Source organism: Homo sapiens, chromosome 2, assembly GCF_000001405.40.
Source record: "Homo sapiens chromosome 2, GRCh38.p14 Primary Assembly".
NCBI classification, from domain to species: domain Eukaryota; kingdom Metazoa; phylum Chordata; class Mammalia; order Primates; family Hominidae; genus Homo; species Homo sapiens.
In genome coordinates, this window is record NC_000002.12 from 232,748,125 (window position 1) to 232,764,818 (window position 16,694).

At 37.8% G+C, this 16,694-nt stretch overlaps 1 protein-coding gene across 5 annotated transcripts in view; it reads left to right on the forward strand.

Annotated features, from left to right (window-relative positions):
* Positions 1 to 16,694, forward strand: part of GIGYF2 (GRB10 interacting GYF protein 2) — a 163,275-nt gene that overhangs the window by 50,794 nt on the left and 95,787 nt on the right. For all 5 annotated transcript variants that reach the window (NR_103492.1, NM_001103146.3, NM_015575.4 and 2 more), the window contains 4 exons: positions 863 to 958; positions 8,099 to 8,210; positions 12,356 to 12,467; positions 13,272 to 13,312. Coding sequence is in view for 4 of the 5 variants with exons in the window: in NM_001103146.3 (NP_001096616.1) it covers positions 863 to 958; positions 8,099 to 8,210; positions 12,356 to 12,467; positions 13,272 to 13,312 (361 nt within the window). In the remaining variant the exon portion in view is untranslated. The remainder of the gene's footprint in view (positions 1 to 862; positions 959 to 8,098; positions 8,211 to 12,355; positions 12,468 to 13,271; positions 13,313 to 16,694) is intronic.

Sequence of the window (16,694 nt, forward strand, 5' to 3'; positions counted from 1 at the left end):
ACCTTCGGCTATATAAAATTTTCAGTGGAGACAAAACCTTAAAATGTAACACTACATTTGTGTCACTTAGATCAAAACTGAAACAGTGTAAAATATACTTTTGTTATGACTTTTATCTTACTCACTGACTAGTAAGAAATAATATTTTGTATTTTTTCCCAATATACTTTTTTTTTGAGACAGAGTCTGGCTCAGTCACCCAGGCTGGAGTGCAGTGGCGTGATCTCATCTCACTGCAACCTCTGCAACCCAGGTTCAGGTGATTCTTGTGCCTCAGCCTCCTGAGTAGCTGGGATTATAGATATGCGTTCCCACGCTTGGCTAATTTTTTTGTATTTTTGGTAGAGATGGGATTTCACCATGTTGGCCAGGCTGGTCTCCAACTTCTGCCCTCAAGTGATCTGCCTGCCTTGGCCTCCAAAAGTGCTGGGATTACAGGCGTGAGCCACAATGCCCCACCTCCAGTATACTTTGTTTTTCAGTGATCGAGAATTTCAGATTTTAATGATGGTTGCTAAGGACACATACAGTTGCTTATAAAACTCTCCTTATCATCTTCTGCTTTGCATTTAATGTAGAGACTTTTATTCCTCTACTTTGTGCTCTGGTATAGCAGAGTTAGTGCTAAATCCAAAAGTGGCAATCACTTGAGAAGCTGGGGAGTATTGACTGGGGTTTTTAATATTGACTCTCTCAAAATGTATAAGGACTATAGAAGTCAATTATGGCTGAATAAGCATTAATCTGTATTTATAATAATCAACAATAAATAGAAGAGTATTCTTTCTTGGATTTATCTTCTTGTATTTCTTCTTATTGCAGAAATAGCATTAATCTCATAATCATGTGTTTGGTCCTACAGATACCTTCAGACCTTCTGGATAAAGAATTTCTGCCTATCCTCCAGGAGGAACCCCTTCCACCATTGGCTCTGGTACCCTTTACAGAAGAAGAACAGGTTTGTGATTAGCTCTGAGCCCCAGCAAACTCTTATTCTTTTCCTGCTAAGGCATGAAAATAGGAAGTTACTATTTATGCTCTAAGGATTATCCTGCATCCTCATAGGTCTGCTTTCTTCTATTTCTTGGTATGTTGATGCTTATTAGTTGACTAGATTTTGCTGTAGTATCTGTAGCTTTTGAGTATTATTTGGAAACGTTTGTAGATCCTTAAGGACATTGGGAACCATCCTTTAAAACTTACTCAAGTAGAGAGGAAGAGTGATTCTTGGGGAGGGGAGAAAATCATCTTTGCAAATAAACAGATTTTCAGAAGTAATTGCCAACCTGAATTCTTACCGGTGCATTTTACCACTAAGGGAAAAATGTAGATCTTCAGTTCAAAATGCATTCAAAACTCTTCTGTCACCAATGTGTGTGTGTGTGTGTCTGTGTGTGTGTGAGAGAGAGAGTGATGTGAGAAAGTAAAACTTGTGGGCTGGAAAGTAGCGAATTTAGTGTTGTTCCTGTTTATAGTGTATTTTGTTCTGTGCAAAGAAAATAAAAGAGTTTCTGATTTCAAGGAACTTATGATAACTGTAGAAAAATGGAAAAATAAGCCTTGTTGGAAAGCTTGAATGTTACTTTATGGGCATCCATACGGGAAGAAGAGAATCCAGGGAGCCAAAAATACATCTTTTTGACTCTTAAGGAAAAGGTAAAGCAAGAAGTAATAAAAATCTTTTCAAATACTCTATGAAATATTAAAATCCTGGGCATTGGAAAGAGAATTTTTCAAGAGGGTTTTAAACTATGAAATTTTGAACGACAAAAATGTTGGGGCCAGACGCATGACTCACACCTGTAATCCCAGCGCTTTGGGAGGCCGAGGTGGGCGGATCACCTGAGGTCAGGAGTTCGAGACTAGCCTGGCCAACATGGTGAAACCCTATCTCTACTAAAAATAAAAAAATTAGCCGAGCATGGTGACACACGGTTGTAATCCCAGCTACTTGGGAGGCTGAGGCAGGAGAATCGCTTGAACTCGGGAGACAGAGATTGCAGTGAGCTGAGATTGCATCACTGCACTCCAGCCTGGGCAAAGAGTGAGACTCCATTAAAAAAAAAAAAGAAACAAAATGTTGGCATATGTCCTTTACTTGAATACCTTCTGTACACTTGGTACAAAAATGCAGAAGTGTGATACACAGAGGAAAATGCACCTTGGACATGGCTGTAGCCAAAGGTCTTCCTGGCAGAGGGGTAAAAACTGAGCCCTAGGAATTAGGGTAAAAAAGAATCCTGCAATTCAACTAATATTTTAATCCTTTCCATGCCAGCTGCTCCCTTTCCCAGAGGCCGCAAGTGTTAGCAATTTCTTATGTATTTTTCCAAGTAAATATGGAAATATATTTTCCGCCTTTTAATACAAGTGATACGGTTCTGTACTTCCAACATCAAGTATTTTTATTGAAAGACTTCCCTGAAGATTTGGAAAAATTTTTTCCCATCGTTTTTGTTTGCATTTCTTTGCCTGTAGCAGTAAACAGTTGTTTTTCAGATGTTTATTCATCATTTATATTTCTGTTAATTTTTTTCTTGCCTTTGCCAATTTTTCTTTTGGGATATTCATCTTTTCCTTGTTGATTTATGCTATTTATATGAGCTCTGTGTGTGTGTGTGTGTGTGTGTGTGTGTATGTTTGTGTGTGTGTGTATTTTTTGTTTACTTATTTAGATTTTCTATTTTGAGCTAGGTTCTCACTCTGTCATCCAGGCTGGAGTATAGTGAGGGTCTCACTCTGTCACCCAGGCTGTAGTACAGCGGCATGATCATAGCTCACTACAACCTTGAACTTCTGGGCTCAAGGGATTCTCCTGTCTCAGCCTCCTGCATAGCTGGGAGTACAGGTGCATGCCACTGCATTTGGCTAGTTTCGTTTTTTGTAGAGACAGGATCTCGCTCTGTTATCTAGGCTGGTGTTGAACTCCTGGCCTCAAGCGATTCTCCTACCTCAGCCTCTCAAAGTGCTGGGCTTACAGGCATGATCCACCATGCCTGGTCTGGCTCCTCATATTTTAAAGTCATTGACCATAGCTGTGCCCAGTAAGTTTTCTAAATGTTAAAATTGCATTTATGATTTTATTTATTTCTTTTTCTTTGTCTCTTTGAGACTGAGTCTTGCTCAGTCACTCAGGCTGTAGTGCAGTGTCACAGTCTCGGCTCACTGCAACATCTGCCTCCTGGGTTCAAGGGATTCTTGTGTTTCAGCCTCCTGAGTAGCTGGGATTACAGGCGTATACCAACACGCCTGGCTAATTTTTGTATTTTTAGTAGAGACAGGGTTTCACCATGTTGGTCAGGCTGGTCTCAAACTTCCTGAGCTCAAGTGAATCCTCCTGCCTTGGCCTCCCGAAGTTCTGGGATTACAGGCGTGAACCACCATGCCTGGCCACATTATGATTTTAAATAAAAAGGCTAATTTTATGAGCTTCATATACCAGTTTTATTCTTTTGTGATTATTCTTTTAATTTTTAGCTATTTATATATTATTTTTAAAAATTCCTTTTTATGTTTCTTTAAATGATTTCCTAGATTTCTTAGAGACTAAATATATCAGAAGAGGGAAGAGGACATGCTACTAGTTACCAAAATGTGGTAGACTTTTATTCAACAGAATGAATAATTGAATTACCCAGAAACATCTTGTAACATTTTAAAGAAATTAGTGTGTAGTAAGTACACAAATCGTTTGGAAAATCAAACATTATTTTGCAAATGTTGCTTGGGATCTGTTGGTTAACTGCAGTTAACCAGTAATAGTTGGTTAACAATTTAGAGAAGAGTAAAATTAGGTATGCACTACACCTATACACCAAAATTAGTTCTAGAACAACTAAAGGAATATGTTTAATTTTGTTCTTATGATAGAAATATTTATCTTAAGGTCTGTATTCTGTGATCACAGCGTCTTGATGCAAGGATTGGGAGGTTTTCACTGTGGCCACAGAAGATCATCAGATCCGTTTTGAAGGCATTTAAAATGCACCATTTGGGATTTCCTGATGCATATTTGGTAGCCTTTATCATTTACCAAATATGTTGGAATAGGACAGTGCTTAAAGCTGGCAAAAAATTCATAAAAAATTTGATGTTTGTCCTTTGAATGATCAGGTACCCCTTCAGAGATTAGTATTGACTAGATCTTCCTAGACTAGAGTTTTGTATACCTTTTCTTTTGGTACTTCTAGGGAGGTAAATACTTTAATAACTTAAAGCAGGCTTCTTGCTGCATGTCTTGTTTGCTGAAGTTACCTGAAATACGTATTTTTAAAGTATACTGACATACTCATTCTCCTTCTCCCTCCATGTATCTGTGTATCAAATATAGTGAGAAAAAAATGCATTACACCTGCAATTTAGGTAGCTGTTACAAGACTGGTGTATTTTATTTATTTGACATCAAAGAAGTTACTTTATTCATTCTTTTTTTTTGAGACAGAGTCTCACTCTTTTGCCCAGGCTGGAGTGCAGTGGCGCGATCTCGGCTCACTGCAAGCTCTGCTTCTCGGGTTCACGCCATTCTCCTGCCTCAGCCTCCCGAGTAGCTGGGACTATAGGTGCCCACCACTGCACCCGGCTAATTTTTTGTATTTTTAGTAGAGACGGGGTTTCACCGTGTTAGCCAGGATGGTCTCGATCTCCTGACCTCGTGATCTGCCTGCCTCGGCCTCCCAAAGTGCTGGGATTACAGGCATGAGCCACCGCGCCTGGCCTATTTATTCATTCTTGATAATACTTGTATATATACCTAACAAAATTCAAAAAGCACATAATGAAAAGCAAGTCTGTGACTCACCCAAACTCTGCCACTTATTACTCTTCCTCAGAAATAACCACTATTTCCATTTTTTTTGTATTCACTTCAGGGGTGCTTATGGTGTCTACAACTATCTGTATATTCCCTTAAACACTATTTCACACACACACACATAAATGGTAGCATGCTGTGCACACAGTTCTACACTTGACAGTATTTATTTATTTATTTATTTATTTATTTATTTATTTATTTATTGAGACAGAATCTCACTCTGTTGCCCAGGCTAGAGTGCAGTGGTGTGATCTTGGCTCACTGCAACCTCCGCTTCTCGGGTTCAAGTAATTCTTCTGCCTCAGCCTCCTGAGTAGCTGGGATTATAGACGCCCGCCACCACGCCTGGCTAATTTTTGTATTTTTAGTAGAGATGGGGTTTCACCATGTTGGCCAGGATGGTCTCCAACTCCTGACCTCAAGTGATCCGCCTGCCTTGGCCTCCCAAAGTGATGGGATTACAGGCATCTGCCACCATCCTTGGCCATTTTTTGTAATTTTAGTGGAGATGGTGTTTTGCCGTGTTGGCCAGGCTAGTCTCGAACTCCTGGCCTCAAGTGATCTGCCTGCCTTGACCTCCCAAAGTGCTGGGATTACTGGTGTGAGCCACCGTGCCTGGCACTTTACAGTTTTAACCTAAGCATCTAAGAGATAATGGCATACTAGCTTTTAGTATGTATTAGACACTGTTCTAAGCACTTAACATTTAATGTGTTGCGTGCTTGCAGTCACCCGTGAGGTAGATAAAAATATCCCTGTCTACATTATATAGATGAGGAAAATGAGGCTCAGAGAAGTTGAGTATAGAGGCCAGAATTCAGTCCCAGGGAGTTTGGCCTCTCCGTGTTCCTAATTACAAGTATGCTCCATGTCTCTATATATTAGGTTGACCATAGGACATTGCAGTTTTTGTTATCACATGATTCTGCCTAAGAAATAGATTTGTGGCCCGGCACAGTGGCTCACACCTGTAATCCCAGCACTTTGGGAGGCCGAGGCGGGCAGATCACAAAGTCAGGAGATTGAGACCATCCTGGCCAACACTGTGAAACCCCATTTCTACTAAAAATAGAAAAAATTAGCCAGGCATGGTGGCATGCGCCTGTAGTCCCAGCTACTCAGGAGGCTGAGCCAGGAGAATCGCTTGAACCTGGAAGGCGGAGGTTGCAGTGAGCTGAGATCGTGCCACTGCACTCCAGCCTGGATGACAGAGCAAGACCCCGTCTCAAAAAAAAGAAAAAAAAAAAAGAAATAGAGTTGTTTCATTTTTTTTTTAATCAGCAGTACAGAATTTTACATGTAGAGGACCATGATTTTTAAATTAGGATTGGCTAATACATAGATGGCTTCCATATTTTTGCTTTTATGAGCAGTACTGCAGTTAATGATCTTTCTGTTTATGTTAATTTTTTACATGGGTAAGAAGTAGAATTGTTGTGTCAAAGGGGATGGGCATTTAAATAATTTTTAGAAATTGCCTTCTATAGAGATTATACTAGTTTATACTTTCATCAGCAATGTATGAGAGTTTGTGAAAATATATGAGTGTGTCCCCACACATACAAATGGGTGCATTTGAGTTTTATATATGTGATAGTTTGGTTGACAGGTGTTCAACTGCATGGGATCCTAGCATAATAATGCAGTTAGCTCTGACCACAATTATTTCAATATTAGAATATATTAATCTGTATTTTGGGACCTCATACTGTTGTTTAATTATAGTAATACCCAGAGACATTATTTAGTACCCCACTGCTTACTCTGTGCTAAAAGGTAAGTTAATATATATGTTTCAATCAGTTTTCTTTTTTATTAAGTACATTTTATTATAGTTTGAAATAGAAATATAATTTTTGAGTTTGGTGTCTTTTATTTTTAGTTGTCAAATATATCTTAAGTCTTTAGTTTTGATGTTACTTGATTATATGATTATATACCTATAAAGTAAAAAAAAAAAAATCTTATTTACACTGATAAAGTTCCTAAAACTTATCAAACAAATTGTTGTGAATAAAATTCTGAAAAAACTAGCTAGGAGAAAATGACCTATTTATTACAACACATTTAATAATGAAAGTAGAAGTTTTTTAACGATTAGATGTTGACTTCTTCAAAAGAAGGTGGTATAGACATCATATTTCAGTGGATTTTGAATCAAAATAGAAAGTTAGTGGAAACCAGTTTGGACTAAAATATTAGTTGAATTGCAGGATTCTTTTTTACCTTACTTCTTTCTTTCTGTTTTTTTGAGACGGAGTCTTGCTCTGTCGCCCAGGCTAGAGTGCAGTGGCATGATCTCGGCTCACTGCAGCCTCTGCCTCCTGGGCTCAAGCAATTCGCCTGCCTCAGCCTCCCAAGTAGCTGGGATTACAGGTGCCTGCCACCGCGCCCGGCTAATTTTTGTATTTTCAGTAGAGACAGGGTTTCACCATCTTGGCCAGGCTAGTCTCGAACTCCTGACCTCATGTCCACCTGCCTCGGCCTCCCAAAGTGCTGGGATTACAGGCATGAACCACCACGCCTGGCCTTTTACCTTGACTCTTAAGCCTAAGGTTTTCTCTCTGCCAGGAGAACCCTTGGCTACAGACATACCAAAGGTGCACTCCACTATCTCTTTTTACTTGACCCTGTTCCAGATTGGCTGTGGTGCAAATGCAGGTTAATAACTGAGTGATTGGGTTTTACTTTAACTTATTAAGTATTCCCTTCGTCTTCCCATTAATGTGTTATTTAGATGGTTGCTCTTGTTTAGATCCTTGGCCCTTTCCCATTCACTTATGATTCCTGTCATTCTGTTGAATACTACTTGGAGTTGCTAATTCACATTGATGTGCAGAATGTCCTACTCTCGCATCAGACCTTTTGGTAACTCCCTTTCATTTCCACTTTTCACCAGTTAAAGGCTTACAGGACCCTTTCAAACCAGATCTCTTTTGTAAAATTTTCTGTATTTATTCTGTTATGTATTTTCCCTATCTACTTGTGTATATATAGAGTGTTTAGTTTGTTTGCTTATTTCCTCACCAAACCTAGCATAGTGTAAGACATTGGTTGTCAATTTTGTTGATCTGAAATGTTAATTTGCAATTATCAGGTAAAATCAAGTTTTGGATCATTTCGTATGTTGTGCAGTTATGGTTTTCCATTGCTAGTAGTAATTAGATGCCTTTTTATAGATGCAGTAGGAATGTGGGGAGAAGCAACATGTAGTTTTATCTGTTTCATCCATTTTTTTCTTTCTTTTTTTCCTTTTTCTCTTTTTTTTTTTTTTTTTTTTGGCAGAGAAACTTTTCCATGTCTGTAAATAGTGCTGCTGTCCTGCGATTGACAGGACGAGGAGGAGGAGGAACAGTGGTGGGGGCTCCTAGAGGTCGAAGTTCTTCAAGAGGGCGAGGTGAGCTTTCATATGAAAAAAGTAATAATGGAGGAGGAGGAGGAGGATAGAGAACTTACTTTTAAAATATTTTAATGCCTGATTTAATAAAAACTGTTCTTTGACATTAACTGCATACTAAATGTCCTGAATATTTATATTCAGAACCATTTTTTAGAGGTATCTCCTCTATAATCCCTGATTTGGAGCAGAAGAGTATAATTCTAGCTGTACAGATTTGAACATGAGGGAGTCTAGACAGTCCCAATTCACTCCAACAGATCCATGTTCCTCATCCCTGGAGAGCCTTACACTCTGGGAGCCAACGACTCCTGAAGTGTCTTAACTATGGAAGCAGCACTGAAGTACCTGCAGTCCTCTGTGACAGTTTCTGTGTGAGGGGCGTGTGCCAAGAGCTTCTCCAGCCAGAGAGGGGCTTTAACAAAAACTGCCTCATCAGGACTAGGACATTTAGGGGTAGAAAAAAAGATAATTCTGCCACATTCATTTATTTAACCTATAGTTTTACATATTTTTGTCTTGGAAAAATAGTTCTTATTTTGATATTACTTGTTTCTTTGATATCTGCCCCCTATTTTGGGTTTGCTGATTTTCTCCTATATGACGACATTCTTAAATATTTGTAATATGAATATTTGCTTAATCATGTAGCTCTTACGTTGACTAAATCATAACAGTGGTCTAAATACACCTTGTGATTTTCTGTAAGAGATGCTTTAGAAATGGAAGAATTGGATGTCTGCAATGAGTGAGACCATTGTCTCTGCATATTGTACCACCAAGATTGGCATGATCATGAGTATAGAGTATTTAAATTCTTTATAAATAGAGTAATTTATCTACAGTCTCTCTAGAAAATGCATTCAATTGTGCATTCCTGGGAAGAGATTTCTTTTAGTAGTCCACTCAGAATGTGGGAATCCAGGTGTGAAGTGTCTGATTAAAAGTCTCCACTTGTTTTGCTAGGTACTATTACATAGTTGTGTTTTTCCCTCTGGCTTTATTTGTCCATCTTTAGAGAATATTTTTTTTTTTAACCTGAGGAGATGTTAGACTAATCTGTAAAACTTAAAGGAAATACCTGTGCAACAAAATTTTGGGTGGTGGGATCTAGGCATGTGTGTGCTTCAAAAGCTCCACAGGCAGTTCAGATTCATACACCGAGTTAGGTTCCATTGGTCCAGAATTTGAGATCCATGCATCTTGGTGGCATGGTGGTGGTTTCGAGTTGGGACTGACCACTTATGGCTCTGGCCTGCTGCTTGGGCATTTCCTGTGTTTTTCTGCTGTGGGTTGGTAGCAAGGAGAGGTTGTACTTGGGCAGCTTTGCCTCCAGTGCTTTTCAGGGCAAGCCAGGGAGAGATCTTCTTGGTGAAGAAGTGTGAATAACACCGACTTTTGTGTGCTGCAAATACCAACCAATCTCTGAACAGCACCCCCCGCCCCCCGCCATTACTTAATCTAGAAACAAGTGAATGATTGAATTTCTCCTTGCTTTTTGGTTTATGATTGAATTTCTCCTTGCTTTTTGGTTTCTTTGAAATGAAGGGTTATCACATATGATAGAAAGCTTACATTCAGAATTTAATCAGGCTATGTAAAAAAGATAGATGTGACATATGTAAGAAGTCATGACTTTATTTACATATTAATGTTGAAGAATGGCACGAAACTAGTCAAGTGACTGAACTGACTTGGTGTGAAAAGTACTTTTAACATTATCTCAACCACCCGTGATTCTTCTTAATGATCTCAGTAGCTCATTTTCTGAAAGAAGGTTGTAATTATAATCTGTGGTTTTGTGTTTTCCACTCATTACTTAATTTTAACTTGCTGGTTAAATAATGATTATTGTGGCTTTTCTTTGTATAGGCAGAGCTAACACTAGATGATTATCTTGGCTGTTTGCAACTTTAGGAAACTTTGATGTGGAAATTGACTGATTTCCAGGCTGCTAAATATCATGTACTAGTAAAATTTAAATAAACTAAATAGGTGGTAAGAACAACATGAAACTGTCATTTTATTTGGTTAGGTTGTTTAAAAATAAAGCAGATTGACAGAGCTCTCAACTATTGTCTTCATCATTATTAAAAGGAAGTATGTTTTAATTCCCAAAAAGAATAGGGTGAATTCTTAGTAGAACAGTTCTTTAATTGAGCCTTACGATAGGTTCATCATGTTATATTTACTTCCTTATTCATGTATGGGAACCACTTTATAGAAGATTAAAATTTTTCCAAGTTGGAAAGCTTTAGAACCTGATCGTTGTAGTATGTCCCACCCTAAAGTTTTAGTATCATTAGCAGGACCGGTGTCAGTGCTAGTTATAACTGAGAAAATATTTTATATGTGTTTTGCTTGTCTTTCTGGTAAGCTGGAGGCTATTTTTTATATTTATATGTTTCTGGAATAAAACATTTTCTTCAAGGTGATACAAGTGTAAGGGCCTTCCTGAGCAAATGGCTTTCTCTAAAAGATGAGGAGACTTTTGCCCCCATCCTAAAATCTTCCTTGTAGAGGACATGCGTTATATGACAATTTATATTACATTATTTTAGGATCTTAAATACAGTGTATACATTTCCTGAAGGGGAGAAGTACTTAAACTGTGAGTTGACTTTAAGTGAAGTTGACACAAGTGGAAGGGTAACTTTATTATAGTTCCACCGTGCTTCTCACTTCCGTTTGACAAATGAAGAAGTGGATACTTGCACTCGTCAAGAGGGTATCCATTGTTTCTAAGATTACCCACAAAATAATTTGGTGCATTATTTTGATACTTCATAATATAGTCATATAAAAGTACAAGTGTATTCTGAGTTAATTCTTGATAAATTACAAACAAGAAATAGAAATACTGCATGGATATTTGAAGTAATTAGCTCAATTATATTTAGCTTTGGGATGCATTCATCAAGATCCATCATTTTTCTTTGGGTCATTGTGCACTGTGAGAAAAATTGAGCTAGGGACGATGGCTAAGATTTCACCTAGTTACAAATACATCCTTGGACCCCCACCCCTCCTCCCCTCCTCTCATTTTCTCACCTGTGTATTGAATACAAATGTTTGTTGGGAAAACTGTACATAAAGTATGAAGCTAAAAGTGCATACGGTCTTCTGCCTCCAGACCTAACAATTGGATATATAGCCTTCTTGACCCTAACGGTGCAGCTATATCATTTATATAAATGGAATAATTTTTATATGCATCATTCTTCAGTATGTTCTTGTTATTGAACAGAATAATGTCCGTGCTTAATCTGCTGTGGCATCATAGTGTTCTACTGTATTTTATCAGAATTTATGTAGCTAATCCTTTATTGATTAGATTTCTAGTTTTTTTTTTTAATTACAGTGAACATCTTCATATATATTTGCATTTTTGTACAACTATTTCTATTAGGATAAATCCTAAGTAGAATTGTTGAATCAAATGTCAATAGATCTAACCAAATTGCCTTCAGTAAAGGCCAGTTTATGCTTGAACCACCAGAGAGAGCCTCTCAATCCCTATGCCCAGACACTCTACCAGCTTTGTTGGTTCAAGTTTAGTCCTGATACATTTCTTTTTAACTTCAAGATTTGGGTGTAGAGTAAACTGTACCTTTGGTTACTCTGTAATATACCCTGTATGGCATTCATGAGGTTTGATGGTTTTAGAATTGATGCTATTAAGTTATCCTTTCTCTGGGATTAGATAAATTATTTTAACTTTTATGCTTGACTTTTTAACTTTAGCCCCTGTCTTCTTAAACTCTCTAAACCAAGATTTCTTCCATTTTTATGAAAATAAAACAATAAAATATTTAATCTACGGTAGTGTTTTATTGAACTTCTTAGAATTTCACTATTCAACTGTTCGTTAAAGAACTTAAAGTTGATACTTTCTTGTTCAGGACTGGGTCTATTGCATTATATTATGTTAGTTTTTTTAACTTGTTTCTTTCAGCCTCTTGTGGTCCAGCTACTTCAATGCCATTGTTGGTCTCATAAGTCAAGATCATCAGGCCTCGTTCAGTATTTAAATGTAGATGTCCTGCCTTGTATAGAGATAGAACTTTAGATATTAATTTATGGTGGTGAATGTGTGCCACATGTTGACATCTGACTATCATTTTTTTCTGTTTTCTTATTTTCAGGCAGAGGCAGAGGTGAATGTGGTTTCTACCAAAGAAGTTTTGATGAAGTAGAGGGTGTTTTTGGTCGAGGAGGTGGCAGAGAAATGCATAGATCGCAGAGCTGGGAGGAAAGGTAACTGGATCCACATATTGGCATAAAAATTTCTTGGCATATAAAACTTATATTTTTTGCTTTCTGCGGGGAGAAATGTTTTTGTACAGTTAAAGGGTTTCATTTTAAAAAATGCTCTTAAGTATTGAACATCAAGTTGTACATTAGAAATTTTTAAATGATTCTTATTTAAAGGAAGACGGATTCTAGATAGATAGGTTAATATATGAGTGCCAGCATAGTTAATTTGATTTGGTATTTGATAGCAAATACCAAATTGTCATGTTATTGTTTGTTGGTATTAGTAAAAGTATCTTCTCTCTATATTGTTTGTGGCTTTATATGAAGTCTGTCAAGATGAGTGGGGGCAATTGCACAAAGATATCTGTACAAGAATGTTCACTATGATGATATTTATAATACAAAATAATTTGAAATAAGCCAAACAGATTGATGTTGGCCTTATATAATTGTATATCCACAAAGTAGGATATTAATATGAGCATTAGAGGTGTTTTTGAAAATATTTAATGATGTGGGAAAACACATTCTAAGAGCAGTATATAAAACTGTATACTATGTATCTAATTTAAAAAATAATATTTTGGGTCAATAGAAACAGCTTTTGGTAGGTGAGGGGATGGATATTTTTCTTTTTATCTTTGTGCTTTTCTATATTTTCGAAATATTAGGCAATAACTATGTATTTATTTGTTTTGTAATTTGAAGAAGAAATGCTTTTAGAAAAATGGGAAAGTGAGTGTCACAGATAGGAAATCTATATCACTGTGAGACTTTGTTTGAAACTTATTTTTTCTTTTCCAGGGGTGACAGACGTTTTGAAAAACCAGGACGAAAAGATGTAGGTAAGGTTCTTACCTACACACATAAGGATAAATTTATTAAAAATTGACTCAGTTACCTGCACCTCTCCAGTAGATGGGGCTGCAGCATTTCCTGCATTTAAACTTCCACGGTTATTTGAAGTCTCTACTGCATGAAACCAGAGATGATGAATACAGCCATTAGGATTTACTTGACTTGGTCTGTGTGTTCTCTGCAAGGCATATATTCTTTATTAAGGCCAATTTGTGAACTGAAGACTCAAGTTAGGAACCAATCTACTAACTCTTTTTCTAGTGTAGATAGCATCTCACAGATGAGAAGAAATAGGGCAAATGCTAAAATCTTTGCTTTTGTATCAGAGAACAAAGGCCAAAACTATGAATGTTCTTAATTTACTAATTTATTCATTTGGCCTTTTTGCTGTATAGTCCTTTTTTTTTTTTCTTGTTTTGTGATGAGAACAAAAAAAAAAATAACTCAGATAAATTGCAGTTAAGGTAGCCACTGAAGAGGAACATAATAAAGGAACAGGATTCCATTGTTTATGATGAATTAATCATAATTTGTATTTAAATTTGTATTTAAATACATAATTTATATTTAAAGAATTTATACTGTTAAGATGAGCTTCCTAGCTGATTAAAGGTACTACCTTACAAACTACCAGTAGGTATTAACATCTGAGGAGAAAATAATGCCAATTCATGGTACCATGAATTGGTACTATGAAAATTATTACAAGTTCCAAGTCCTACAAGTGCTAAAAAAGTTCTCCAGAGCATGATTATAACTGATAGTGTTAATCATGTCTTTTTTTTTTTGTTTTTTTTTTTGTTTTTTTTTGAGACAGAGTCTCAGAGGCTGGAGACTCTGTCACCCAGGCTGGAGTGCAATGGTGTGGTCTCGGCTCACTGCAACCTATGCCTCCCGGGTTCAAGTGAATCTCCTGCCTCAGTCTCCCGAGTAGTTGGGACTACAGGTGCGTGCCACCACACCTGGCTAATTTTTGTATTTTTAGTTGAGATGGGGTTTCACTATGTTGGCCAGGCTGATCTTGAACTCCTGACCTCGTGATCCACCCGCCTCAGCCTCCCAAAATGCTGGAATTACAGGCATGAGCCACTGTACCGGGCAGTGGTAAATATTTCTTATAAACAAATGTTAAATATGTAAATACCATTCACAGACTGACTTGCAGATTGTTTTAAAAACTAAGTAATTTTAACAGTCAGCTTTGTATCACTGTTTCTGTTAAAAACTTAAAGATATCAATAATTAAAATTTCTCATTTATGAATGTGGCATTGGGAATACGTAGTTATATTTATATTAATGAAAACCGTTAAGGCCAGGTGTGGTAGCTCATGCCTATAATCCCAGTGCTTTGGGAGGCCAAGGCAGGACAGCCTGGGAGACATGGTGAAACCATGTCTCTACAAAAAAGTACAAAAATTAGACCTGCATGATGGTATGTGCCTGTAGTCCCAGCTACTTGGGAGGCCATCATGTGATGGGAGGATAGCTTGAGCCCAAGAAGTCGAGGCTGCAGTGAGCCGTGATCACACCATTGCACTCTCTAGCCCAGGTGACAGAGTGAGACCCTGTCAAAAAAAAAATTAAAGGTGTGTAGCATGAGGAAATTGGGAACAGACTAGGTAGATAGTTTATTGTTAGCTTTAGCCATATTGTAGACTGTTGGATTAACATAATCATGGGGGGCTTGTCAAGACCTCTGCTCCCATCCTTGTCTGATTCAGTACTTTTGCCATGAATATGTAGAGGGGATGAACAGTAGTTTAAAGAGTACAGGATTTGCAATCAGAAGATCATGGTTATTCTAAGCTCTCAGATCTCATTAGTCTCATAATAAAATGAGTGATAATGCCTTACAGAATTTTTAGGATTATAGTAGTTCTCCCCCTTTATTTGTGGGAGATACATTTCAAGACCCCCAGTGGATGCCTGAAACCACAGATAGTACTGAATCCCATAAATACTGTGTTTTTCTATACATATATATCTATGATAAAGTTTAATTTATAAATTAGGCACAGTAAGATATTAACAGTAATAACTAATAATAAAATAGAACAATTATAACAATATACTGTAATAAAAATTATGTGAGGCTGGGCACAGTGGCTCGCACCTGTAATCCTAGAACTTTGGGAGGCTGAGGTTGGCAGATCACGTGAGGTCAGGAGTTGGAGACCAGCTTGGCCAACATGGTGAAACCCTGACTCTACTAAAAATACAAAAAAAAATTAGCCAGGCGTGGTGGGTGAGCACCTGTACTTCCAGCTACTGAGGGAGACTGAGGCAGGGGAATCGCTTGAACCCGGGAGGTGGAGGCTGCAGTGCGCTGAGATTGTGCCACTGCACTCCAGCCTGGCTGGCAGAGCAAGACTCTGTCTGCAAAAAAAAAAAAAAAGTTATGTGAATGTGGTCTCTGTCTCTTTCTCAAAGTACTGTAATATTTTTTGATCATGATTGACCATAGTTAAACTGTAAAGCAAAACTGTGGATAAGGCGGGATTACTGTAAATAAGAGCATATGAACTCATTTATTCATTCAACAAATATTAAATTCTCACTTATGTGCTAGGTGCAAAATATTTCTTTAGAGGATATTGTTGGTATGCTGATCAGATTTTCAAATCATTCAATATTGTGAGGGATATCTATGGAGTGGAACAGTTAGGACATGGGATCAGAATCAAGGTGAATCGAGACCAAATCTAATCAAATGGGGCATTTTAACAGCAGAAATGAAAAGTCTTACATAAGGAAATTACAGAATTTAAGGAGTGGCTGCATGTAAAAGCAGCCTTCTGTGGAAAGGATACAACCCTCTCAGTGACTCTGGGCTTCATGTTCATCAGCGGTGTGCTGATGTCCTCTCAGCCATGGGCAGTATTTACTAAAGTGTCCTCAGTGAGTCAGGTGATAGGCCCATTGTCTTTTATGTTGTCACAGGCAAGCCTAAGCATTGTGTTCACTTCTGGGACCACCCCTTGAAAGGGTCCACACATTTGAGTAGGAGGGCTGGGGCATTTGAAGCCTTGCGATGGGAACTGTGTGAAGGAAATGGAGCTGTTTAGATAGGAGACAAGATTGTGGACAGGGCAGAGTGGGGAGGAGGGCTTATAGGGTCACTCTCTATCAATACCTGCCTACTAATCATGATCATGTGAGGTGAGGACTTAGACTTGATCTGTATGTTTCTAAAGGGCAGAAAAGGGCTAACTGTTGGAAGGTTCAAGGGGGCAGGTATTGGACACAATCTTAAAAGATCTAATTATTAGAATTGTCTGAAAATGGCTTGGGTTGCCTTGGGAAAGTAGTGAGTTGATAGAACAATAGCCTGGTTTTAACTGTTCACACATATTCACACTTTGGTGGT